Genomic DNA, 27,863 nt, shown 5'->3' with positions numbered 1-27,863 from the left:
ACTTGTTGTCTTTAATATTGAAGAGTTTTGGCAGCTTAGTTAAATTCCCTAGTTACCAATTTTACTCGGTAGTAGCTGAAATGCCCTGGAACTAAGTTGGTCATTGGGGGACAGTCCAGAGAAATGAGTATAATTTCTGTAGTACCAGGAGACCATTAGTAAATATATGTATTAAGCATTATAATGTATTCAATAAAATACCCAAGAAATTTTGGGGGCTAGAATAACATGCTTTTGTGGATTCCATTTCTGGGCCTAAAAGTTTTACATAACTAAAAATACAAATCAGCATGCCAGTTTTGGCAGATTTATCTCCAGCCGTTGTTTATATAAGAAACGTGTATCCAACTGAGTCTCACAAATAGACTTGAAGTAATTTAGTTTAGAGCACAACATTCCATTTAGCCAAAAGTGCTGCTGTGAAGGGAAGATGTTACCCATTTTCCAAGTGTTCCCCTGCTGACATTGACGCTCTTATAGCTGTGAGCCCAGCAATGCCTTTTCAGCCCAGCTGCAGACATTAGAACTGACTTCCCAAATGAGCTTGATTATTCAAGTAGAATTATGCACTCAACTATAATTCATTTTATTGTGTAACCTTTAGAAAAAAAATGTAGCATATGAATGAAGAGGCATATTACTTGAAAAAAAATTTTATACCAGAAAGACTCGGAGAGTGTGACATGCATATTAAACCATAACCTTATTCAAGGTTTTATTTATAAATATTATTGCACATATATTGCCATGTAAATGACGTAGTCAAAAGGAATTCACATGTGTTTGCATGTTTAACAACTGGGCCTGTGGGTATCCTTTGGCCTTTAAAAATTAAGACTACTTTTGAGATAAGTCAGTTATTTTTAAACATTTTCTCACCACCTATTGAACTTATCACTTCTTTAAGAAGGTAAATAAAGACTTTTGTTGTCTCCAGAGGTGGCATGCTTTATTTTGCTTTAGAGTCATTATTTGGGTAGTCTCTCATATAGGTGACTTAGATGTGCCTGGGTAATCTGGCATTTGCTTTTCTCTATGTATTGCATGGGTAACAAAAGCATTCTCAAAATATGAGCCCAGAATATCATTCAAATTTATTTCCAGTTATCCATAAGTGATTGAATATTTAAATTAGGTATTTTTGTTCATTCCGTCCCCCACCTATGAGAAAAGATAATATGTCATGTTTATTAGTAAGTGAATATTAATAAGTATCCAAACGGTGCATTTTGAACAATGGCATGTTTGGATATTTAATGGAGCTTTATAATATAGAGGTATTTGCTTGGGCAGATATAAAGACTTATTACAAAGCTATAGTGATTAAAATAGTGTGGCATTGGCAGAAATTTAAATAACTAGACCAGTGGAAGAGAATAAAGAATGCTTAAACAAATCCATGCAAATAGAGAAATGTGTAAGGCAGACATGGTGTTTTAGTCAGGGCTCTCCAGAGAAACAGAACCAATAGGATTATATATATAAATATATATATATGGAAATCTATTATGGAAGTTGGCTCACATGATTATGGAGGCCAAAGCTTTCTACAACATGCCATCTGCACACTGGAGAACCAGGAAAGCTGGTGGTGTAATTCCATTTGAGTCTGAAGGCCTGGGAACCAGGAGAGCTAATGGTGTAATGCCCTGTCTGAGGATGAAAGTCTGAGAACCCAGAAGTTCACTGGTGTAAGCCCAGGCCTGAGAACCAGGAGCTTTGATGTCCAATGCCAGGAGAAGAATAATGTCCCAGCTCAAGGAGAGAAAGAGAATTTGCCTTTCTTCCACCTGTTTGTTCTATCCAGGCTCTTGTATATCAAATTGACACATAAAATTAATCATCAGACATGGCTTTGCCAATCAGTGGCAGGTGGAGGGGAATGGAATATTCAGGAATTATGCAGGATAATTACTTGGAAAAATCAACATGAATACCCATCTCACACTACAACAAACATATATCAGGTGGACTTCACTGATATGAAAAGTATGTATGAAAAGTAAACTTCACTATTGTGAATAATGGTGTAATAGACATGAGGGAGTGTAGATATCTCTTTGACATACAGATTTTATTTTCTTTGAATATGTACTCAAAAGTGTGATTGCTAGATCACATGATAGTTCCATTTATAATATTTTTAGGAAACTCTCTACTGGTTTCCATAATGTCTAGAACAGATTACATTCCCATCAACAGTGTGCAAAGATTCTCTTTTCTCTACATCCTCACCAATACTTGTTATCTTTTGTCTTTTTGATAATAGCCATTCTAACAGGTATGAGATGATGTCTCATTATGGCTTTAATTTGCATTTCTCTCGTGACTAGATGATCATCTGTTGGCCGTTCTTATGTCTTCTTTGAGAAATGTCTATTCAGGTCCTTTGCCCACTTAAAAATCAAATTATTTGTTTTCTTGCTAGTTGTTTGAGTTCCTTATATATTTTTGAATATCAATTCCTTGTCAGATGTATGATTTGCAAATATTTTCTCCCATTCCCCAGGTTTGCTTTTTACTCTATTGATTGTTTCCTTTGCTGCGCAGAAGCTTTTGGGTTTAAAGCAATCTCATTTGTCTATTTTTGCCTATGTTGCTTGTGCTTTAGGGTTGCATCCACAAAGTCTTTGCCAAGGCCAATGTCAAGAAGCTTTCCCCTTGGTAACTTTGTGGTAGTTTTAGAGTTTCAGTTCTCATGTTTAAGTTTTTAATCCATTTTGAGGTGATTTTTGTATATTTAGTAAGAGACAAATTTCATTCTTCTGCACGTGGCTATCCAGTTTTTCCAACACTGTTGAAGAGGCCATCCTTTCCCCATTGTGTGTTCTTGGCAGCTTTGTTAAAGACCACTTGATCATAAATGTGTGTATTTATTTCTGGATTCTCTTTTCTGTTCCACTGGTCTGTATATCTGTCTTTATGTGTGTACCATGCTGTTTTGCTTACTATAGTTTTTAGCCAAAATAGAGAATTAACCTAGGTGTTCATCAGTGGATAAATAAAGAAAAAAGTGGTATATATATACATATATATATACACATTTCACAATGTATGCCCATATCAAAACATCACATTGTACACCATATGTATAATTTTTAAATTGTTAATTAAACCATAATAAAGTTGAAGAAAAAAATCATATTTAATTAATAATGACATTGGAAATGCTTATATAATAATATTAAATAAAAGTAGCAGACTAAGAAGCTGATTTCAATTTTATTAAAAATATACAAACATAGAAACAAACTGAAAGCAATATACTAAAAGGTTAATAGTTATTGCTTGTATTAGTCCATTTTCACACTGTGGATAAAGACATACCCAAGACTGGGTAATTTATAAAGCAAAAGAGGTTTAATGTACTCACAGTGTCATGTGGCTGGGGAGGCCTCACATTCATGGTGGAAGGTGAAAGGCATGTCTCACATGGCAATACGAGAGAATGAGAACCACGCGAAAGGGGTTTCCCTTATGAAACCATCAGATCTCATGAGACTTATTCACTACCACAATAACAATATGGGGGAAACTGCCCCCATGATTCAGTTATCTCCCACCAGGTCCCTCCTACAACATGTGGGAATTATGGAAGCTACAATTCAAGATGAAATTTTGGTGGGGACATAGCCAAACCATATCATTGCCTCTGTGTTATTTTCTAAATTCTTAAAAATTAGGATATATTATTTATACATTGATATATGTACATTATATATGAAGAAAAAATATGAAGGATAAAATTTAAAATTTAGTAGAAAACGTAGGAGAATGTCTTTATAACCCTGGAGAAGGAAAGAATTACTTAAGGAGACAAAAAGTACAAACCATAAAGGAAAGTATCGATAAATTTAACTTCATTAAAGCAAAGACTTTCTTTTCATTAGAAGACACCATAAAGAAAGTGACAATCCACAAACTAGGAGAAAAAATTTACAAAGAAAAATATTGAAAAGAACTGTGTATGTATTAATAGAATATACAAAGTATTATTTAAATCAGTTATGAAAGACAACACAATAAAGAAATGGACAAAAGGCATGAGCAGGCATTTCATAGAAGAAGATTCAAAATGACCTATAAATACACAAAATGATGCACAATCTCATTAGTAATCAGAGAAATGCAAATTAAGCCATAATGTGATCAGCCTTATACCCATCAGGACTTTTCAGATGAATAAAGATGCTACTGTAAGCAATAGAGTAGAAGTATGTTAAAAGCAATGTTAAATTCATAATAGCCTTTTTATTCTATATTTCATAGTCAATGTCTTTTTTAAATGTTATGATGTATTATTTAAAAAGTACAATTATTATCATTCAAATAATGTAATTTTTTTACTTTATAAAGTGGTTTTTATATTTAGCAAGACTGGGAAATGCCCTAGGTCAATTTCTAGCTCAATTTTACCTACTACATATAAGAAAAATGAATTGGTTCGAGTTCTATATCTAGTTAGTTAATGAACAAGGACTTGAACCCAGGTCTCCTTTAGTGTGGCTGATAGTTCTACTGTTGCAGAACAGAAAAACGTCTTAACTCTTTTGTGTGGTTGAAGACACTTTTTACAATCTTTTCCCAATTAGTCCTTCTAGTCTTAGCAACCATTAATTTTACACTCCATTTCTGGCTTGGCCCAGTTAATCTCTCCTTCATTGGTTGAATGCAACTTTTATTTTTCTCCTGGGTATCACTATTTCTACTTGCCCTTCAGGATCCAGTTTTGACCTTCCCTTCCTGGTGTCACCTGCTTGAAACTCCCCAACCAGAGTAATTTCTCTCACCTTCTGAACTCTTGTAGACATTTTTTTCTTTCTCTCTCTCTCTCTTTTTTTTGTTTTTGAGACAAAGTCTTGCTCTGTTGCCCAGGCTGGAGTGCAGTGGCACAATCTAAGCTCACTGCAACCTCCGTCTCCTGGGTTCAGGCAATTCTCCTACCTCAGACTCCTGAGTAGCTGGGATTACAGGCACCCGCCACCATGCCCAGCTAATTTTTGCATTTTTAGTAGAGACAGGGTTTCACCACATTGGCCAGGCTGGTCTCAAACTTCTGACCTCAGGTGATCCGCCACCTCGGCTTCCCAAAGTGCTGGGATTACAGGCATGAGCCACCGCGCGACCTCTTATAGACATTTCTAAGTCTTTCTAAAGGTAACTATTCATGTGACATTATGCATGATGTACTACTTGATTTTTTTATTTTGGAAACTGTTTATTGAGTCTTTATTATGTTTTAAGGACTTAGGATTCATTAGTACATAAGAAACACATAGTCTTCTGTTTTGGATTTGACAACCTAAAAAATTTTATTTTTTTCTGTTTGTTTCCTCTAAGTGTTTGCAAATGCCTAATGGAGAGAGACTTTATCTCTGTCCTAGAATAGTGTCTGGTGTTGAGTAGGCTCAAGAAATGTATGTCAAATTGTCTTCTCAAGAAAAGAGGCAGTTCGTTTTCTTTTACACAGCACCTGCCCTATTTTTCCTTGAAGATTCCCTGATTTTGTAAGATTAACGTGGCTTCCTTTGAGTGAAAATTCTGGGTTGTTCAGCTAAAAATGCGGCACTGACTTAGTACTTTGACATTATGTTGAATTATCCAACAATCCTAACCTTTGTTATTGCAAAGGGAAGGAATGGGAGAAAACAAAAAGATGGTTATGAATGGTGCTTTATATCAAAGAAATGCAAAGTCTGATAGGAGGAAGAGGGAAGTGGCATCTCCTGCCATGCAATGTTCCTAGAAATAAAACCATTAAGAGCAGTGCAGTCATAGTGGGAAGGTTTTATTGGAATGGCTCTTTGCATTATAGGCCACCATATTAGTGACCAGCCAAATAGTAATGTTCAGTGGCATAGATTATTGTGTTGGTAAGGAAAATATTCAGTAGATTTAGTGTTAAAATCTCTGGTAATGTAGATAAAAACTTTCTTTTGATTTATGTATATTCTGAGATTCTTATATTTTTCATGGTGCAAATATATTGGAAGTTACTCCAGAGAGTGTCATTTGTTCGTTTGTGCCTCCAAAGGTACTGGAACTTGCTTGTTGGTAATGGTTTCTGGTACCCAATACTTGAATTATTGTAAAAGTAAGCAATGTGGTGCAGAAGAGTTTCTGTTATCTTTTATGTCACAGTCACTGAAAGTAAAGTTACTGGATTTGCATGTAGTCTAATGAAGGTAACGTTAACTTAGCTAGTGAAAAGGCAGACGCCTGGTTGATACCGTTTCATGAAAAATTGAAAAGTCTTTCTGTCATTATATATTTTCTCCTCACTTATTTGCTGACATCTGGAAGATATATTTATTATTTGCTTACTTATTAAACAGAAATTCAAGTATGTCATTTAACAGTTATATAGGAAAGGCTTAAACTGTGGGTATATTCAAGGAAGGCACCATATGTTTAAAAATGGAAGAGGCAAGGAAACTTGACTCTTGAATTTTGTCCTGTGTCTTATAAATGGCTGTTTGATGGCAAAGCACTGAAACTCATACTGGTTTTATAAAAACAAATGAGATGTGTAATGATCATATCAGGTTAAATGGGGGTATCCATCACCTCTAGCATTCATCATTTCTTTGTTATGAACATTCTAATTGTACTCCCTCAGTTATTTTAAAATATACAACAAATTATTGCTGGCTGTAGTTACTGTGTGGTACTATCAAATAATAGATCTTATTAATTGTATATAATTATATTTTATACCCATGAATCATCCCCATACACCTGTATCAAAATATATCATGTACCCCATAAATATATATACCTACTATGTATTCATAAACATTAAAAAAAATTTCAAAAAGCCAATTAAGATCTTTTTTTTTTTCTTAAGAACATTTTATTTCATCGCTTATCACATAAATGTATTTGTCAGGTTATCTCTTTCCAGCCATCTTGTATCTACTATAAAGTGAAATGAAGAGTTGAATAAGTTGTCTGGCTATGTCAAACCAAAAATTTAAAAAGAATTTTACTCATTTATTAAGTATTACTCTAATTATTATTATTATTTTTTTATTATTGTACTTTAAGTTTTAGGGTACATGTGCACATTGTGCAGGTTAGTTACATATGTATACATGTGCCATACTGGTGCGCTGCACCCACTAACTCGTCATCTAGCATTAGGTATATCTCCCAATGCTATCCCTCCCCCCTCCCCCCACCCCACAACAGTCCCCAGAGTGTGATGTTCCCCTTCCTGTGTCCATGTGATCTCATTTTTCAATTCCCACCTATGAGTGAGAATATGCGGAGTTTGGTTTTTTGTTCTTGCAGTAGTTTACTGACAATGATGATTTCTAGCTTCATCCATGTCCCTACAAAGGACATGAACTCATCATTTTTTTATGGCTGCATAGTATTCCATGGTGTATATGTGCCACATTTTCTTAATCCAGTCTATCATTGTTGGACATTTGGGTTGTTTCCAAGTCTTTGCTATTGTGAATAATGCCGTAATAAACATACGTGTGCATGTGTCTTTATAGCAGCATGATTTATAGTCCTTTGGGTATATACCCAGTAATGTGATGGCTGGGTCAAATGGTATTTCTAGTTCTAGATCCCCGAGGAATCACCACACTGACTTCCACAATGGTTGAACCAGTTTACAGTCCCACCAACAGTGTAAAAGTGTTCCTATTTCTCCACATCTTCTCCAGCACCTGTTGTTTCCTGACTTTTTAATGATCGCCATTCTAACTGGTGTGAGATGGTATCTCATTGTGGTTTTGATTTGCATTTCTCTGATGGCCAGTGATGGTGAGCATTTTTTCATGTGTTATTTGGCTGCATAAATGTCTTCTTTTGAGAAGTGTCTGTTCATGTCCTTTGCCCACTTTTTGATGGGGTTGTTTGTTTTTTTCTTGTAAATTTGTTTGAGTTCATTGTAGATTCTGGATATTAGCCCTTTATCAGATGAGTAGGTTGCGAAAATTTTCTCCCATTTTGTAGGTTGCCTGTTGACTCTGATGGTAGTTTCTTTTGCTGTGCAGAAGCTCTTTAGTTTAATTAGATCCCATTTGTCAATTTTGTCTTCTGTTGCCATTGCTTTTGGTGTTTTAGACATGAAGTCCTTGCCCATGCCTATGTCCTGAATGGCATTTTTATGGTTTATGTCCTGAATGGCATCTAGGGTTTTTATGGTTTTAGGTCTAACGTTTAAGTCTTTAATCCATCTTGAATTGATTTTTGTATAAGGTGTAAGGAAGGGATCCAGTTTCAGCTTTCTACATATGGCTAGCCAGTTTTCCCAGCACCATTTATTAAATAGGGAATCCTTTCCCCATTGCTTGTTTTTCTGAGGTTTGTCAAAGATCAGATAGTTGTAGATATGCGGCATTATTTCTGAGGGCTTTGTTCTGTTCCATTGATCTATATCTCTGTTTTGGTACCAGTACCATGCTGTTTTGGTTACTGTAGCCTTGTAGTATAGTTTGAAGTCAGGTAGTGTGATGCCTCCAGCTTTGTTCTTTTGGCTTAGGATTGACTTGGCGATGCGGGCTCTTTTTTGGTTCCATATGAACTTTAAAGTAGTTTTTTCCAATTCTGTGAAGAAAGTCATTGGTAGCTTGATGGGGATGGCATTGAATCTGTAAATTACCTTGGGCAGTATGGCCATTTTCACGATATTGATTCTTCCTACCCATGAGCATGGAATGTTCTTCCATTTGTTTGTATCCTCTTTTATTTCCTTGAGCAGTGGTTTGTAGTTCTCCTTGAAGAGGTCCTTCCCATCCCTTGTAAGTTGGATTCCTAGGTATTTTATTCTCTTTGAAGCAATTGTGAATGGGAGTTCACTCATGATTTGGCTCTTTGTTTGTCTGTTATTAGTGTATAAGAATGCTTGTGATTTTTGTACATTGATTTTGTATCCTGAGACTTTGCTGAAGTTGCTTATCAGCTTAAGGAGATTTTGGGCTGAGACAATGGGGTTTTCTAGATATACAATCATGTCGTCTGCAAACAGGGACAATTTGACTTCCTCTTTTCCTAATTGAATACCCTTTATTTCCTTCTCCTGCCTAATTGCCCTGGCCAGAACTTCCAACACTATGTTGAATAGGAGTGGTGAGAGAGGGCATCCCTGTCTTGTGCCAGTTTTCAAAGGGAATGCTTCCAGTTTTTGCCCATTCAGTATGATATTGGCTGTGGGTTTGTCATAGCTAGCTCTTATTATTTTGAAATACATCCCATCAATACCTAATTTATTGAGAATTTTTAGCATGAAGGTTGTTGAATTTTGTCAAAGGCCTTTTCTGCATCTATTGAGATAATCATGTGGTTTTTGTCTTTGGCTCTGTTTATATGCTGGATTACATTTATTGATTTGCGTATATTGAACCAGCCTTGCATCCCAGGGATGAAGCTCACTTGATCATGGTGGATAAGCTTTTTGATGTGCTGCTGGATTCATTTTGCCAGTATTTTATTGAGGATTTTTGCATCGATGTTCATCAAGGATATTGGTCTAAAATTCTCTTTTTTGGTTGTGTCTCCGCCCGGCTTTGGTATCAGAATGACGCTGGCCTCATAAAATAAGTTAGGGAGGATTCCCTCTTTTTCTATTGATTGGAATAGTTTCAGAAGGAATGGTACAAGTTCCTCCTTGTCCCTCTGGTAGAATTCGGCTGTGAATCCATCTGGTTCTGGACTCTTTTTGGTTGGTAAGCTATTGATTATTGCCACAATTTCAGAGCCTGTTATTGGTCTATTCAGAGATTCAACTTCTTCCTGGTTTAGTCTTGGGAGAGTGTATGCGTCGAGGAATTTATCCATTTCTTCTAGATTTTCTAGTTTATTTGCATAGAGGTGTTTGTAGTATTCTCTTATGGTAGTTTGTATTTCTGTGGGATCAGTGGTGATATCCCCTTTATCATTCTTTATTGAGTCTATTTGATTCTTCTCTCTTTTTTTCTTTATTAGTCTTGCTAGCGGTCTATTTTGTTGATCCTTTCAAAAAACCAGCTCCTGGATTCATTAATTTTTTGAAGGGTTTTTTGTGTCTCTATTTCCTTCAGTTCTGCTCTGACTTTAGTTATTTCTTGCCTTCTGCTAGTTCTTTTTGAATGTGTTTGCTCTTGCTTTTCTAGTTCTTTTAATTGTGATGTTAGGGTGTCAATTTTGGATCTTTCCTGCTTTCTCTTGTGGGCATTTAGTGCTATAAATTTCCCTCTACACACTGCTTTGAATGCGTCCCAGAGATTCTGATATGTTGTGTCTTTGTTCTCATTGGTTTCAAAGAACATCTTTATTTCTGCCTTCATTTTGTTATGTATCCAGTAGTCATTCAGGAGCAGGTTGTTCAGTTTCCATGTAGTTGAGCAGTTTTGAGTGAGATTCTTAATCCTGAGTTCTAGTTTGATTGCACTGTGGTCTGAGAGATAGTTTGTTATAATTTCTGTTCTTTTACATTTGCTTAGGAGAGCTTTACTTCCAAGTATGTGGTCAATTTTGGAATAGGTGTGGTGTGGTGCTGAAAAAAATGTATATTCTGTTGATTTGGGGTGGAGAGTTCTGTAGATGTCTCTTAGGTCCGCTTGGTGCAGAGCTGAGTTCAATTCCTGGGTATCCTTGTTGACTTTCTGTCGCATTGATCTGTCTAATGTTGACAGTTGGGTGTTAAAGTCTCCCATTATTAATGTGTGGGAGTCTAAGTCTCTTTGTAGGTCACTCAGGACTTGCTTTATGAATCTGGGTGCTCCTGTATTGGGTGCATATATATTTAGGATAGTTAGCTCCTCTTGTTGAATTGATCCCTTTACCATTATGTAATGGCCTTCTTTGTCTCTTTTGATCTTTGTTGGTTTAAAGTCTGTTTTATCAGAGACTAGGATTGCAACCCCTGCCTTTTTTTGTTTTCCATTTGCTTGGTAGATCTTCCTCCATCCTTTTATTTTGAGCCTATGTGTGTCTCTGCACGTGAGATGGGTTTCCTGAATACAGCACACTGATGGGTCTTGACTCTTTATCCAATTTGCCAGTCTGTGTCTTTTAAATGGAGCATTTAGTCCATTTACGTTTAAAGTTAATATTGTTATGTGTGAATTTGATCCTGTCATTATGACGTTAGCTGGTTATTTTGCTCGTTAGTTGATGCAGTTTCTTCCTAGTCTCGATGGTCTTTACATTTTGGCATGATTTTGCAGCAGCTGGTACCGGTTGTTCCTTTCCATGTTTAGCGCTTCCTTCAGGAGCTCTTTTAGGGCAGGCCTGGTGGTGACAAAATCTCTCAGCATTTGCTTGTCTGTAAAGTGCTTTATTTCTCCTTCACTTATGAAGCTTAGTTTGGCTGGATATGAAATTCTGGGTTGAAAATTCTTTTCTTTAAGAATGTTGAATATTGGCCCCCACTCTCTTCTGGCTTGTAGGGTTTCTGCTGAGAGATCCACTGTTAGTCTGATGGGCTTCCCTTTGAGGGTAACCCGACCTTTCTCTCTGGCTGCCCTTAACATTTTTTCCTTCATTTCAACTTTGGTGAATCTGACAATTATGTGTCTTGGAGTTGCTCTTCTCGAGGAGTATCTTTGTGGCGTTCTCTGTATTTCCTGAATTTGAATGTTTGCCTGCCTTGCTAGGTTGGGGAAGTTCTCCTGGATAATATCCTGCAGAGTGTTTTCCAACTTGGTTCCATTCTCCCCATCACTTTCAGGTACACCAATTAGACGTAGATTTGGTCTTTTCACATAGTCCCATATTTCTTGGAGGCTTTGCTCGTTTCTTTTTATTCTTTTTTCTCTAAACTTCCCTTCTCGCTTCATTTCATTCATTTCATCTTCCATCACTGATACCCTTTCTTCCAGTTGATCACATCGGTTCCTGAGGCTTCTGCATTCTTCACGTAGTTCTCGAGCCTTGGTTTTCAGCTCCTTCAGCTCCTTTAAACACTTCTCTGTATTGGTTATGCTAGTTACACATTCTTCTAAATTTTTTTCAAAGGTTTCAACTTCTTTGCCTTTGGTTTGAATGTCCTCCCGTAGCTCAGAGTAATTTGATCGTCTGAAGCCTTCTTCTCTCAGCTCGTCAAAGTCATTCTCCATCCAGCTTTGTTCCGTTGCTGGTGAGGAACTGCATTCCTTTGGAGGAGGAGAGGCACTCTGCTTTTTAGAGTTTCCAGTTTTTCTGTTCTGTTTTTTCCCCATCTTTGTGGTTTTATCTACTTTTGGTCTTTGATGATGGTGATGTACAGATGGGTTTTTGGTGTGGATGTCCTTTCTGTTTGTTAGTTTTCCTTCTAACAGACAGGACCCTCAGCTGCAGGTCTGTTGGAATACCCTGCCGTGTGAGGTGTCAGTGTGCCCCTGCTGGGGGGTGCCTCCCAGTTAGGCTGCTCGGGGGTCAGGGGTCAGGGACCCACTTGAGGAGGCAGTCTGCCCGTTCTCAGATCTCCAGCTGTGTGCTGGGAGAACCACTGCTCTCTTCAAAGCTTTCAGACAGGGACATTTAAGTCTGCAGAGGTTACTGCTGTCTTTTGGTTTGTCTGTGCCCTGCTCCCAGAGGTGGAGCCTACAGAGGCAGGCAGGCCTCCTTGAGCTGTGGTGGGCTCCACCCAGTTGGAGCTTCCAGGCTGCTTTGTTTACCTAAGCAAGCCTGGGCAATGGCGGGCGTCCCTCCCCCAGCCTCGCTGCCGCCTTGCAGTTTGATGTCAGACTGCTGTGCTAGCAATCAGCGAGACTCCGTGGGCGTAGGACCCTCCGAGCCAGGTGCGGAATATAATCTCGTGGTGCGCCGTTTTTTAAGCCCTTTGGAAAAACACCCGTCGGAAAAATTCTCTTTTTTTAAAAAGAGAATGCATCAGAAAGATATGGCGACCTCTTTTAAAATTCAGGGGCAGAAAGTGAATTTGGCATCAGTTCGCTATGGTAGCTTCAGGGAGAACATTGATAATCATTGCAGGGGTGAGATAACTGATTTTGTTATGGCCCAGGGTCTAGAAGTTCATTTAGGACTCCAGGGAGACCATATATCCAGATTGCCTGGGTCAGACCTAGATTTTTTTAAATTTTATTTTTCTATAGGTTATTGGAGTACAGGTGGTATTTGGTTACATGAATAAATTCTTTAGTGGTGATTTGTGAGATTTTGGTGTACCCATCACCCAAGCAGTGTACACTGCACCCTATTTGTAGTCTTTTTTCCCTCGCCACCCCCGCACCCTTCCCAAGTCCCCAAAGTCCATTGTATCATTCTTATGCCTTTGCCAGACCTAGATTTTGTCTTTTATCCTTGAAGTGTTACAAATTAGCCCTTCTTTTTTACTTTCAAAGATGTCCTGGTGTAGATGATAGAAAGTCTCCAAAAGATATCTGATCCTAATTCCTGTAACCTGTAAATGTTAACTTATAGGGAAAAAAGGTCTTTGTAGATGCGATTATTAAAAATTTTGATATGGAGAGGTTATCCTGGATTCTCCCACTGGGCTCTAAAGGCAATTATATATCTCCTTGTAAGAGAGAGGCAGAGGAGGGCTTGGTACGCAGAAATGGGAGCCGTATGGCCACAAGATAAGGAATGCTGGCAGCTACCAAAAACTTTCAGAGAGGTAAGAGGCTGATTTTCTCCTAGAGCTTCCAGATGGAGGGTGGCCCTGCTGCCGCCATGATTTTTTTTTTTTGAGATGGAGTCTCGCTCTGTCGCCCAGCCTGGAGTGCAGTGGCGCGATCTCGGCTCACTGCAAGCTCCGCCTCCCGGGTTCACGCCATTTTCCTGCCTCAGCCTCCCGAGCAGCTGGGACTGCAGGCGCCTGCCACCACGCCCAGCTAATTGCTGCCGCCATGATTTTGGCCCAGTGGTCACGTCTGGAAATGTGAGAGAAAGAGTTTTTGCTGTTTTAAGTCACTAAGTTTGTGTAATTTGTTATGGCAGCCCTAGGCAACTAACACACCAAGCTTAGAAGACAAATTGTGTGGTTACTCTTCTTATAAAGGGCTAGTCCCAGAACCTGGACAGTTATCGAATTGGATGCAGCACCGTTACCATATCTTATTCCTTGCAGGCTGGCAGAGACCGTTTTTCTCTCTGGACCTCTTAAATTTTTCTCTACCTAATTTGCCAGATCTCCCTGACAAGGCTCCAAATACACATGAATCTGGAAAGTTCAGTGTCTCAATCTAATTGACCCATTTTCTCAGTCAATTCTAATTCCCTAGGAAGGCGTATGGTGCCTTCTTTGAATGTACTCACAGTTTAAACCTTTCTTACATAACTGTTAAATGGGATTGGCACAGAGCTGTCTGTAGACTAGTTCTTCATGTGTTAGTTGAGTTTTCTTTATCTAATCAGGTGTGATATGCGGTGGAGAGGCTCACATACTAGAAAAATGCTTGAGTGGCCCATTTATTTGATGGTGTGTATGAGTGGTGAGTAGCTCAAGAGAACAAAATTGGGCCTAAGAAGACCTCTCTAAAAGTGTTCACTTGTTAAAAAAGCAATTAACCCAGTAAATATTGGGCTTTCTAATGCTCATAAATATTTACTGCTGCAGTGAAGAGAAAATTTTTAGATCAAAAAGAAAGGTTTTAATTAGAAATTCCTTGGTGGTATTTTTTCCTTACATATTTCATGTCTGAAGTTTTCTGAAAATACCAATTGCCTTGATATCTTCTTTGAATGTCATACCAATCACATAATCTTCCTCTTGTAAAATTGAAAAGGATTTCTTTGAAGTTTTTATTGTTGTTTGCTTTCCATTATCTCATCATCATTCAATCTGAATCTTATCTGAATATTATAATGTACTGAGAAATATATTGAATATATAATGTATTGAGAAATATATTGACTATAATCTGTTGAGAAATATGTTGAATAAGTGAATTTCAGAAGTTCCTAAACTAAACAATATTGTTCAGAAGTTCCTGAACAATATAGCCTTTGAGACAATATTGATATTAACTTCTTTTCTTAGTAAGTGGTTAATAAATAAAACCTATTCTCGTTCAGGTCTTCCTTGCAACCTTCTCCATGTGCTGAATAAATATGCATACATGTCTCTTTTCATTACAGTTGTGAAATGTAGCCAGCAAAGTCACACATTGCATATCTTTGCATCTTATCTTCCCTTGCCTTCCTTCCCTCTTTTCTTTACTCTCACCATTTTGGGTTTCTGCTTTCCAAATAAAGTGTTAGCATTTTAATTCTTGCTTCAGAGGTCCCGGAATTTCCAGAGGAGCCAGGCCAAGAAAATACCTAATATGTTTCCTGTGATTAAGAGAAGTTACTGCCTTGGATTCTATCTTTTAACGTTAAGTTACACTTTCTTTATATATGTTTTTCTGATATATCAGAATCCAGTGGCAGATTTTTATATTGTGTATCAGTGACTGGGAAAATCAAACAAATAATCGAAATCATCTACATATAGTTAATCAGAATCTATGCCATCTGCTATCAGACCAAAAAAAAAAAAAAAAAGAAAAAGAAAGAAAGAAAATAATAACAATAGTAACAGCAAAAAAAAAAAAAAAAAAAAAAGCCTCGATTAACAGACGCTTGAATTTTAATAGAAAATAAATGGTCTTATGAGCTAAGAAGACATACATCCAAAAAGGTGTCTAGGCTGCTCTGTCTATGGAGTAGCCATTCTTTTATTCCTTTACTTTCTTTTTTTTTTTTTTTTTTTTTTTTGAGACGGAGTCTCACTCTTTCGCCCAAGCTGGACTGCAGTGGCGCTATCCCGGCTCACTGCAAGCTCCGCCTCTTGGGTTCATGCCATTCTCCTGCCTCAGCCTCCCGAGTAGCTGGGACTACAGGCGCCCACCACCACGCCCGGCTAATTTTTTGTATTTTTAGTAGAGACGGGGTTTCACCGTGTTAGCCAGGATGGTCTCGATCTCCTGACCTCGTGATCCGCCCGCCTCGGCCTCCCAAAGTGCTGGGATTACAGGCGTGAGCCACCGCGCCCGGCCTATTCCTTTACTTTCTTAATAAACTTGCTTTCACTTTGCACTTCGGACTCACCCTGAATTATTTCTTGCGAGAGATCCAAGAACCCTCTCTTGGGGTCTGGATCGGGTCCCCTTTCCTGTAACATATTTCTGGCAACCACAGAATGGCCTATAGTGCAGAAACCCTGACCTAACGGCTACCTTAGAATAAGTGTTGGGGTCCTGTAATGTATTTCTGGCGGCCACAGAAGTGACTATACTGCGGAAACCCTGACCCAAAGGCTAACTTTGGGTAAGTGTTGGGGTCCAGTAACATCTTTCTCGCAAACCACAAAAGAGACAATACTGAGGAGGCCCCCCGACCCAAAGGAAATAGACTGGAGCACTGATTGGGTGACTTTGCGTAAGTGATAGGATACCTGGGTACAGAATGGGATTGCATTAAAGGCCCAACTTAGGGGAGTTAGAGTCTCTCCTAAGACAGAGTGGGTTAGAGACCCCTCTTAATAAAAGGCAAGGACGCTTGACCGACCTCAGGTTAGAGGCCTGACTTAGGAGGGTTAGAGTCCCTTATAAGATTTAGGGGGTTAGAGGTCCCTCTCAGTAAAGTCCCTTTAAGAACAGGTTCGGCACTATGGGATGTTAATTCTCTTTGGATTAATCTGCCTTGCACTCTTCGCTGATGGCTGTGGGTGACAGGGTTAGGCATGTACAGGATTGTGGGACATGGGGAGCTTTTTCCTTTCTAAAAAGGGAAACCTGACAGCTGACTGGACTGCTGGAAAAAATCCCTTCATGACAACAGCCGCAGCCGCCTGAACTTTCCAGTGTCGCTGCAATGGGGGGGCTTCCTCTGGCCTCCCTGATCATTTCGACTTCCCCACCCTGCCACAGGCGATACTTTCGTTCTGTGCTTTTCCTTTCTCTTTCTTATCTTTTCTATTACTCAGGATGACCATCTTGCCCAGGGACGACATGTTGAAACTCCAAGTGGAAGGTTGGATTAAAGAAGGGGCCTATCTGGGGGCAAATTTAAGCCTTGCCGGTTTGATGTTGGGTGCTAAGCAGAGTGGCTAATGTCTATGTTTTATCACACATATTTTGCTCTAGCCAGAACAAAAAATAATAATTTTTCTTTATGATGAGGCTTGGCCCCCAGGGCGATGGTGCTGCAGGCAGGATCACTAGGGCCGGTCAGGGAAAGGGAACCCAGAAGCCTGGCATGCCGGCGAAAGGGTAAGAATTTCTTACCAGTCAGATTTCTGGCTTCTCTCTCTCTCTCTCTCTCTCTCTTTGCAAATGGTTGAATGAATGGTGAAAAAGAAAAAAAAAAAACCCAGTGTTTATTTCCTCTGTAAAGTTTTGATTAATGCGAAAAAGAATTCTAAGGCTAGCCTTAAGCTGGTGTATTTTGTGCTATGAATTTGTTTTTCTGTGTTGAGGGGTACTTTAGGATAAAACACGGGCTTAGAACACCTGTAAGCCCGCTTTTCAAGACCACCCAGCAAGCTGGTCAGTAACAAGCTTGGCTGCAGGTCCCTGAAACAAACAGAAAAGCTGGATGAAGTCTCCACCTTGTTTTAGGTCCTTGGGAACTTGACCTTTTAATCACATGGCAGTACTGTCTCTTCGTCTCCACCTTCCAGGGAATAGGAATTTTAGGGTTCATGTCATAGTCAGCTCTACAAATTATATTAAATAGTTAAAAGCCTTTGCAAGCTCAAAATTAACTACTCTAGACTCTTTCTCCGAAAGGAACTGAAGATTGTTCTATGCTGTAACTCAGTAGTTAGGGCTTTTGCACTTTCACAGTGGTGGTCTGGGTTTGATTCCCCACCTAGGAAGTAAGTCGTTTCTGGTTTAGTATCTGCGTGACTTTGTCTATTCTGTTCTCCTCCACGGACTGTCTTAAATTTTCCTTTCTCTAAGCACCTAAGAGGTTACCTCTGGTAAATCTCAGAAACTAGAAATATTGGCTGCTTGGCATGGCTAAAGTCGGGTAATAAGAGATCTGAAAGGATTTCTTTCTTTTTTTTTTTTTTAAAGAGCACTATGGTTAGAAGTCAACTTAATTAAAAGTGGATAAACAAGCTATAGATATATTTAAAAGGCCTTTATGTTTTTCTCTTCTTGGAACTTGTTTTTCTGGAAAAGGCTTTTTCTTCTCAGTTGACTGAATTATTTTTCTCCGTTTTTATTGTCTTGCCACTTTTTTTTTTTTTTTGAGACAGAGTCTTGCTCTGTCGCCCAGGCTGGAGTGCAGTGGTGCGATCTCGGCTCACTGCAAGCTCCGCCTTCCGTGTTCACGCCATTCTCCTGCCTCAGTCTCCCGAGTAGCTGGGACTACAGGCGCCCACCACCACGCCTGGCTAATTTTTTTGTATTTTTAGTAGAGACGGGGTTTCACCGTGTTAGCCAGGGTGGTCTCGATCTCCTGACCTCGTGATCCGCCCGCCTCGGCCTCCCAAAGTGCTGGGATTACATGTCTTGCCACTCTTAATGCACACATGAGAGGCCCTGAGATAATTTCTGGTAGCCTGGGACTCCTTGGGAAAAACAGAAGAGGCGCCACAGACCCCATTTTGGAAAAAAACTTCTGTTTTCCTTATGAAACCCCAGGAATTAAAAGCAGATAGATTCCTCTCAAAATCAAAGGCTCTGTTCTGTTTTGCATTGCATTATCTGACGGTTTTGAGTTTTGGGGGTATCAGAAATTACTTCACATTATGAGAGAGCTTTGGTGTGTAATAACTAGGTAGGAAATATATATATATATATTCATTGGCCATCCCTTGAAGATGGCTAATAGTAGTTACGGAGGGATACTTGACTCTTTGCACACTCGGATCAGAGAAGCATGCTCTTGGCCACCTGGAAGATAAGGAAACATACTCACCCCTCACTGAGAGATGAGACTCCCATTAGGGATGGGCTGATTACAAAATGGGCTGATTGACTTTGGGCTGCCTTGCAATGAAATGCAGAGTAGAAGCACTGCACTGTCTGCTCCTGAGTATTTCCCTCCTTTTGGGGATCCAGGATCCAGTATAAAATGGCACCCTTAATTTTATACTTTATTTATTTTCAAATAAAGTTCATTTGAATCCTTTCATCATGAGAACTGTGGCTATTTTCCTGGTCTGGTAATGACGTGTAGGGCTCTGTATGCTCAGTTAAAGCCTAAGATGTCAGTGTGCATGCCAAGGAAATGTAATGTTTTGAGTGGTTGACCCCAAAACACTAAATTATTATCTGGGGCTGCCAGGCAGTCTACTCAGAGATTCTGTTTTCCTTGAGCACGGCCAGTCTTTTGTGCTTGAAACTCTTATAGATTGTACTGGGTATAAATTTACTTCTACAGAAAATCATTCACATTGATCTTCTGGGGTGGGGTGGGGGAGGCTAGAATTTGAGGATAGCCTTCAGCTTTGCTTGCTGCTGAGTTTGCTTTAAATGACTTATACAAACCTGTGGAGAATGTGATATATATCATTTTATGTATGAGAAAATTTATTAGTAATGTATCATTGAATGTTTGTTTTATGCACTGCTCATTTTAAAATGACTGCTGTATCACTTTCTCCTTATAAATATTTTGCCATTATTAGTTTTTTAATATGCTTTGATTAGCTTTGGAAAATACGCCTGTAAAGTTTATTTAATCAGAACATAGTCAATAAATTGTTAAGAAGAAAGTAATATAATTGTTGATGTCATAGAATGAGTGGTAGAATAAAAATTTGACCATTTATTGTCTAATGCTCATTTTGACACAATTTATTGCATGATTTTGGAAAAGCTTTATTTAACTCTTTGGACAGTAATTTTTTTTATCTGAAAATAGGCATCATAGGACCCGATCTGTTTTCTTCACAGATTGGTGTGAAGATCAATGGGATAATGGATATGGATGATCTTTGAAATTTAAAACGTACTTGTCACATGCAATAATGTGGAAGCACAGAGTATTGGAGATGAGAGAAAACACACAGTTCTTTCATCTCAACTGCATCAGTAATTACATTAAATATAAATGGTTTAAATACTCCATTTTAAAGCTAAATTGACAGACTACATAAAAAAACAAGACCCAAATATATATGCACTCTAAAGAAGCTAAACTAAAATGTAAACACACAGAGCAATTAAAGGTAAAGGACTAAAAAAGCATGTAAATTCTAAGAAAGCCAAGATGATAATATTAATATCAAAGTAAAATTCTAAACAGGAATATTATCAGGGATAAGGAAGAACAGTTTATAATGATAAAAATTTTATTCATGAAGACATAGCAATCCTAAATAATAACAGAGCTGCAAAATATATGAAACAAAAACTTACAGAACTCAAAAACGGTGACAAAGTAAGAATTACAGTTAGTAATTTCAACACTCTTATCCCAGTAATTGATAAAATGAAAAGACTTAAACTCAATAAGATATATAAGATTTAGACAATACTGTCAGCTAACTTAATCTATTTGACATTTATATTCCACACCACAACAGAAGAATACACATTTTTAAAAAGCATATGTGGGCATTCAGATAGATTATATGTTAGGCCATTAAAACATGTCTCAATAAATTTTAAAGGATTGGAGTCATGCAATATAGGCTCTCAGATCTCAGTGGAATTGTGTTAGAAATAGTAATACATTTGTGAAATCCCCAAATATTTGGAAATTAACATACTTCTAAACAACCCATGGCTAAAGTAAAAAAATAGAGAAAATTTGAAAATATTTTGAACTGAATAAAAATAAAGCATAATATAGCAAAATTTAAAAAATGTAGCTAAAGCAGTACATAGTTACTGTTTATCGCAGGAAGTTATACATGAAAAAAATCAATGTATTCACCATATTAACATTAGTAATGAGGAAATTCACATGATCAACGTAAAAGATGCAGAAAAAAGACATTTGAAAAAATTAAACAACCATTTGATAGGTCATGGCAAATTAAGAACTGAAGAGAATTTTCTCAACCTAATAAAGGGCTGGCATCATATTTAATGGTGAAAGACTGAATGCTTTCCTCCTACCATCAGGAACAAGACAAGAACGTCTGTTCTGATCACTCTGTTCAGTATTGCACTAGAGGTCCTAGTCATATAATAAGGCAAGGCAAAGACATAAAATATCTTCATATTGGAAAGAAGGCAGTAAATCTGCCTTTACTAAATGATGACATTGCATACATAGATAATCCTAAGTGATTTACAAAACAGCAAGGTCAGAAAATACAAGGGAGGTATACTCAGATAATTATATTTCTATATGCTAGACATGATCTATTTAAAAATAAAAAACCAAAACCTTTAGCAAAAGCATTCAGAAACATGAAATTATTAGGGGAAAATTTAACAAAATATGTAAAAACATGTGTACCGTAGACCATAAAACATTGTTGAAATAATTTAAGAAAATAGGCTGAGCACAGTGGCTTACACCTGTAATCCCAGCACATGGGGAGGCCAAAGCAGGAGGATTGCTGGGTTGCTTGAGGTTGGGAGTTTGAGACCAGCCTGGGCAATGTAGCAAGACCTCGTCTCTCCAAAAAAAAAAAAAAAAAAAAAAAAAAGACAGAAAATACAAATAGATGAAGATTTGTATCTTGTCCATGGATTAAAACATTCATATTGTTAAGATGTCAATTTTCTCCAAATTGATATACAGCATAGATTCAATGCAATTCCCACTAGTATCCCAGCAAGGTGTTTTTAGCTCAATTTAGTCATGCTGCATGTATACATATTTTAAAACCATATATTGTACATGATAAATATATACAATTTTTATTTGTTAATTAAAAATAAAGTTTAAAAATAAAAATGTTTTTAGAATTGGACAAGCTGATTCTAAAATTTATACAGCAATTCAAAAGATTTATAATAGCCAAAATGATTTTGAAAAAGAACAAAGTTGTAGAACTTACCGTACCTGTTTTCAAGGATTTCTGTATTTCCACAATAATCACTGCCATATAGTATTGGCATAAGGTGAGACACAAATTAGTGGAACACAATAGAGTTGAGAAATAGACCACAAATACATGGCCAATTAATTTTCAACAAAGGTGCTAAATCAATCCAACAAGAAAGGAAAGTATGTTCAATAAATGTTGCTGGAGCAACTGGATATCAATATTACCAAAAATAAATTGTCAATTCTTGTTTCACAGTATGCACAAATGTAACTTGAAATTAATTGTAGAACTAAATGTAAAAGCCACAACTCTAAAACTAGGAAAAATATAGAAATCTTTGTGACTTTAGGATCGATTATTTAACTAGAATATAGAAAGCACAAACCATGGAAAAGTAGTCAAATTGAAATTCATCAAAATGAAAAATTTATGTAAGGACCAAATAGTAAATATTTTAGGTTTTGTGGGCCTAATCATCTTTGTTGCAACTACTTAACTTTGCCAATGCAGTGCAATAGACGCTGTAGACAATGCGTAATGAGTGGATGTGGTTGTGTTTCAATAAACCTTTATTTACAAAAACAGGCAGCACGCAGGGTTTGGCTCATGGGGCTAGTGGGCCAACACCTGCACTAGCTGGACAGAAGCTCTAGCATGAGATTCAGCAATGTTAACAAAAGGCCATGAGATTTGTGGAGGAAAAAGGAAGAACTTTATTTTCTACGAAACGCAATCTGCAGATTGGGGAGGCATGGTCTTCAATACAAGTGAAGGTGTGCTCTCCAAAGAATAAAGGAAGAGTTTGGCTTAAGCAGGAAAATTTCCTGCCCCATGTCTCAATCATATTCTTTTTTTTTTTTTTTTGAGACAGAGTCTTGCTCTGTTGCCCAGGCTGGAGTGCAGTGGTGGGATCTCGGCTCACTGCAACCTCCGCCTTCCGGGTTCACGCCATTCTCCTGCCTAAGCCTCCCGAGTAGGGGGGACTACAGGGGCCCGACACCACGTCCGGCTAATTTTTTGTATTTTTAGTAGAGACAGGGTTTCGCCATGTTGGCCAAGATGTTGGCCAAGATGGTCTTGATCTCTCGCCCTCGTCCTCTGCCGGCCTTGGCCCACCAAACTGCGGGGATTACAGGCATGAGCCTCCGCGCCCCGCCAATCATGTTCTTTTACGTAGACAAAAGAGTCAAGCTTATATTTCGTTCTGATTGGTCCAGATAGTCGAACTCTGATTGGGTGGCTTCCCAATCCCAAAACCAGAAGTCTGTCAGATGTTCCTTCCAAAAGGCTGAGCTGGAGTTGGGGGTTCTCTCATGGCTTCTCTTGGCTCCCGTCACAAGAACTATTCTAGCTTAAGGGTATAAAACAGGATGTTTGTCGCCAGGCGCGGTGGCTCACGCCTGTAATCCCAGCACTTTGGGAGGCCGAGGCGGGCGGATCATGAGGTCAGGAGATTGAGACCATCCTGGCTAACATGGTGAAACCCCGTCTCTACTAAAAATACAAAAAGAAATTAGCCGGGCGTAGTGGCGGGCGCCTGTAGTCCCAGCTACTCGGGAGGCTGAGGCAGAAGAATGGCGTGAACCCAGAAGGCAGAGCTTGCAGTGAGCGGAGATCGCGCCACTGCACTCCAGCCTGGGCCACAGAGCGAGACTCCGTCTCAACAAAAACAAAAACAAAAAACAACGGGATGTTTGTCAAAAGCTGCCTTTTCTAAGAACAGAGAGCGTGTGACTCTTCTCTCACCCCACCATGGCTACTTGTTACTGTGATCTAAATTTAATTGTCTCCATTAGCCACAGGGAGCTATTGTCTCAAGAGCTGGGGGAGCTTATTTACAGTTTTATTTCAGAGCAAGATAAATGGTGTCCCCTAAATAATAATGTGACTTAATGGTAGAGGCAGGACTAAATCCCAATTTCTTTCCAGTTTATGTTTTACTACTAAAGTTGAAAACAAGATTCTCTTTTTAGAGTGTAACTATGCTGTTATGAAATTATGAATACTCAAGAATTAGCTCATAATGTTGTCTTTTTTTATTTTTTTTTATATTTTGATTACTGCCTTTCTCTTGTTAGAAGAAGGAACGAATTAAAAGTGAGTGATTTTGTTTTCATTTTCTCCATGTGTTATTTGAAAGCTTATTCTCGTAGCATCATCCACAGGAAGATATGAAAAATGACTTTATATTCATGTGGCGTTTTATTTAAATCTGTCAAAAACAGAATTATGGCAGTTATTCATTTATATTTCGATATGATTATTGTTGAGAAAATCACCAATCTAAGTTATTACATGAAAGGAAACATGATAGGCATGCATTACAGGATCTTTTTCATAAAGCGAAGATTTCAAAGAGAGAAAACAGAAAAAGAGAATCTATGTTTGCTTTGTGTTGCCTTATTTTAAAAACCTGCCATGTTAAAACAATGTAAAAAAGCAGGAACTATAGTTTTAGGTAGGGCAAATTCTATTTATTGAGACTAGACTATACCAGATACTATGTGAGGTATTTTACTTATATATCTCATTTTATCTTCACAGCATCACTTGCGGATAGGTCTAATTGTCCTCATTATATGGAAGAAGAAACTGATATTCTAGGAAGTTTAGTAACGATATAGATATAATGCAGCTGGGAAGGGTGTGGACTTATGAAGTCAAAACTAGGTCTGTTAGACTGTAAAATCTGTGCTTTGAAGATTGTGCATCTGGGAAAGAAAATGAAAAACTCTAGGAAATTCTTAGATCCAATTAGTAATTGTGGTCACAACACTTAAGAATGAATTCAGAATATACAATTATACCCAAAACACTTGCAATGCCTTTTTTTTCATGTTATAGAGAATTACAGAGAGACTCTAGAATTCTTTATGTCTGTATTCAAGAAGAAGGAAGATAAAATAATGAAGAAACCAAGTGCAATTCTAAGACATATGTGCCCTGAACCATTCTTTATTTGAATAAAACATAGATCCAGACCATCATTAGCCCCCTGCAAAAGTTGAGATAGATGCTTTGAAGTAACACCTTCTCCCTATTTGTTTTCATTATTTTAACCTAGACTTCGGGATAGCCTTGTAGCGTTGGTAACAAGTAAACTGTTTCACTAGAGGCAGACGGATTTCTAAGATATTTTGTTAGTTTTTATTAAGTTAGAAAAGCTCATGAAATCTTTGCTGGGGCTGAGAGAATGGAATTATCTGATTATTAGTATTAGGTCAACCCTGACTTAAAGTCCCTACTGATGTCTTTGCAAAAAACTTGGAAAAAGCAGTTTTCTCTCCAGGCCTCAATATCTCTTGGGAGCTGTTATAAAATGGCATAACTCATCTGAAAAAGAAAAAAAGAAACGGAAGGAAACACCTTTCCATTTGAAAATACGGTGTGTACGTTTGTAAGTGAAGATGGTCTAAGAACAGAATTTTTAATTATGCTTCCACAGGAAGTTTGACAGCAACGTTTCTTTCTTTCTTTTTTTTTCTGGGAAGTTTAGGGCAAGGAGGACATGAAATTGATAATGCCTTGAGCCCGGCAATGGGTTTTCCCAGAAGAAATAATGCAAAGCCGTTAGATGAATGACAGTTTCTAAAGTCTTCAAAACCAACTCTTGACAGATGGAGCACTGCAGAGGCCATGTGGCACGGGAATTTCCAAATTTCCACTCTAATTTCATTTGCTTTTTAAAAAACTTTGGCAGCTGAAGTTGCAGCAGCTGACCTCTAACTGCTACCCCGGGGAAACAGGAGGCCGTGTAACGGGCTCTTTATGAACAAGGGCTGTAGATGGCGCTGGAGAACACAGGCTTCGCTAGGGGCCGTGGAGAAGGCCCTGTCCGGATGTCTACCCGCCAGCACAGAGGGGCTGCCGGCCCTTGCTTTGCATCTTTAAGGAGGCAGCCTGGTGTAGTCAGATATCCCCGCATCCGAGTCTTAGTTTTACCACTGACAGCTGTGTGACTTTGGTCAGCTTTTCAACTTCAAGCTTTTTTCCTCATCTGTAAAAATCCTAATTTGTGGTGGTGTCATGAAAATTAAGGCTAATATATATTAAAATATTTAGTACAGTACTCAGCACAGATTAGATCCCAATAAAGTCCCTAATTACGTAACCAAATGAAATTCTTGTCATATTTTTTATTTCTAGAAATTCAGTTTCCTGATTGTTTACCAGAGGCACATGGCATGGTGCTAGCACGGTGCTGGGAATTAGAAGAAGGGAAGGTGGGCTGGGCGCGGTGGCTCACGCCTGTAATCCCAGCACTTTGGGAGGCTGAGGGGCCAGATCACCTGAGGTCAGGAGTTTGAGACCAGCCTGACCAGCATGGAGAAACCCCGTCTCTACTAAAAATACAAAATTAGCCGGGCATGGTGGCTCATGCCTGTAATCCCAGCTACTCGGGAGGCTGAGGCAGGAGAATCGCTTGAACCCGGGAGGCAGAGGTTGAGGTGAGCTGAGGTCACGCCATTGCATTCCAGCCTGGGCAACAAAAGCGAAACTCCATCTAATAATAATAATAATAATAATAATAATAATAATAAATAAATTAAAAAAAGAAGATAGGAAGGGGAGTGAGACTTCAGCTCAGCTCTCAGTGCATAGTCTAGAAGAGGAAAGAGTAAATGTAGGACTTCCGGTAAAGTAAAATAAATATCAGAATGAGGGGAACCTTTCAATATTTAAAATGATGGAAGTTAATGTGTAAATAATTTAAGCTTAAGCTCATAGGAATTCTGACACTATTTCCGTGTATTTGGTGGGCAGGATGTATTCCCTCCCTTCTCATTTGAATACCTCTCATCATTTTGGGTTCTCTTAAAGTCCTACTAATAAATGACCCATGAGTGCTACAATAGTTCAGAAAATGGTGAGGCTTCTGTGGACTGGAGAAATCAAGGAAAGCTAGGACTTGACCAAGCACTGAGGGTGGGTTTTGATGTTTGAAGTGGAGAAGACTTGCATGAAGAAAGGCCAGATGCTGGGATAAGGCTGGGTGTGGCTGTAGCCTGTAGGGTAATGAGCCACCATCCAGGTAGGGTCGGGGGAAGAAGGTTAATTGGAGCAGCTGATGAGGAGGTGGACTAGGGAGATTTCGTCTGAGTTTTGGAAGTTCCTGAGAACTGGACAGAGGAATCCAGATTTGTTTCATGAGCATTCAAAAGCTATTACGATTAGCCGGTCATGATGGTGTGTGCCTGTAATCCCAGCTACTCAGGAGGCTGAGGCAGGAGAATTGCTTGAATCTGGGAGGCCGAGGTTGCAGTGAGCCAAGATTGAGCCACTGCACTACAGCCTGGGCGACAGAGCAAGACTCCGTCTTTAAAAAAAAAAAAAAAAAAAAAAAGCTATTACGGTTTTCCAAGCACAGGGCTGGCATGAAGATAGTAGATTTATACAAACTGGTTCAATAGCAATGAGCCCAGCAGATTAGCTCAAGAGTGACTCTGGAGCTGGGAATGCCAGATCAGATGCTAAAGCACATTACTGAACATCTTGAATTTAAAGAGCTCTTTAGAACATTAACTTTGATATTTTTTCTTAATTTAATCTTCATTTTGAACTATAAATCTAGCACTAATAAAGAGAACTGAACAGTTTTGCTCTCTCAGGGCATTATATGGAATCCCAGCAAATGCAATCTAATTTCTACCTAACCTGCTGCCTAATACCAATAGAGACTCCCAAGTCATATTTCTGCTCCTCTCCACTTGATCTGACACAGTGACAACAATATTTTTTAAAGCTGCTTTAGCCACCTGGGGAAGAGTGTATTTGACCTGGCACTCAAATGCTCTCAAGTATGAGAGACTGGGGAAGACAAAGGTTGCCAGAATGTCCATCTCAGTAAACACAAAGAAAGAGTCTGCACCATTTAAATGTTCACTCATGTATGACTCTGTGATTATCAAAACTAACTTGGATTATACATTTGGAGAGTTCTCTTGAAATTTACAGACTCAGAGAATTTGTAAGCTCTTTGATTGTTTTTCTTATTAAAAGTTGAGCTGATACTACCAATCTAAGTGCTAGA

General features: G+C 38.5%; 1 long non-coding RNA gene across 1 annotated transcript, besides 2 other annotated features; it reads left to right on the top strand.

Annotated features, from left to right (window-relative positions):
• Nucleotides 12,063-12,562: an enhancer, noted in NCBI's record as "H3K4me1 hESC enhancer chr3:176545329-176545828 (GRCh37/hg19 assembly coordinates)". NCBI's record gives its function as "activates a minimal SCP1, AML or CMV promoter by ChIP-STARR-seq in naive and primed H9 embryonic stem cells {active_cell/tissue: H9 hESC(naive and primed)}" and the evidence as "EXISTENCE:reporter gene assay evidence [ECO:0000049][PMID:30033119]".
• Nucleotides 12,563-13,064: an enhancer, noted in NCBI's record as "H3K4me1 hESC enhancer chr3:176544827-176545328 (GRCh37/hg19 assembly coordinates)". NCBI's record gives its function as "activates a minimal SCP1, AML or CMV promoter by ChIP-STARR-seq in primed H9 embryonic stem cells {active_cell/tissue: H9 hESC(primed)}" and the evidence as "EXISTENCE:reporter gene assay evidence [ECO:0000049][PMID:30033119]".
• LINC01209 (long intergenic non-protein coding RNA 1209) lies at nt 23,102-25,948 on the top strand. Its single transcript, NR_110819.1, has 2 exons — nt 23,102-23,929; nt 24,377-25,948. It is a non-coding gene; the product is annotated as a long intergenic non-protein coding RNA 1209 (long non-coding RNA).
• The last annotated feature ends 1,915 nt before the right edge of the window (nt 25,949-27,863 follow it).

Source organism: Homo sapiens, chromosome 3, assembly GCF_000001405.40.
Source record: "Homo sapiens chromosome 3, GRCh38.p14 Primary Assembly".
NCBI lineage: Eukaryota > Metazoa > Chordata > Mammalia > Primates > Hominidae > Homo > Homo sapiens.
This window is presented reverse-complemented; position numbering and strand designations above follow the sequence as displayed.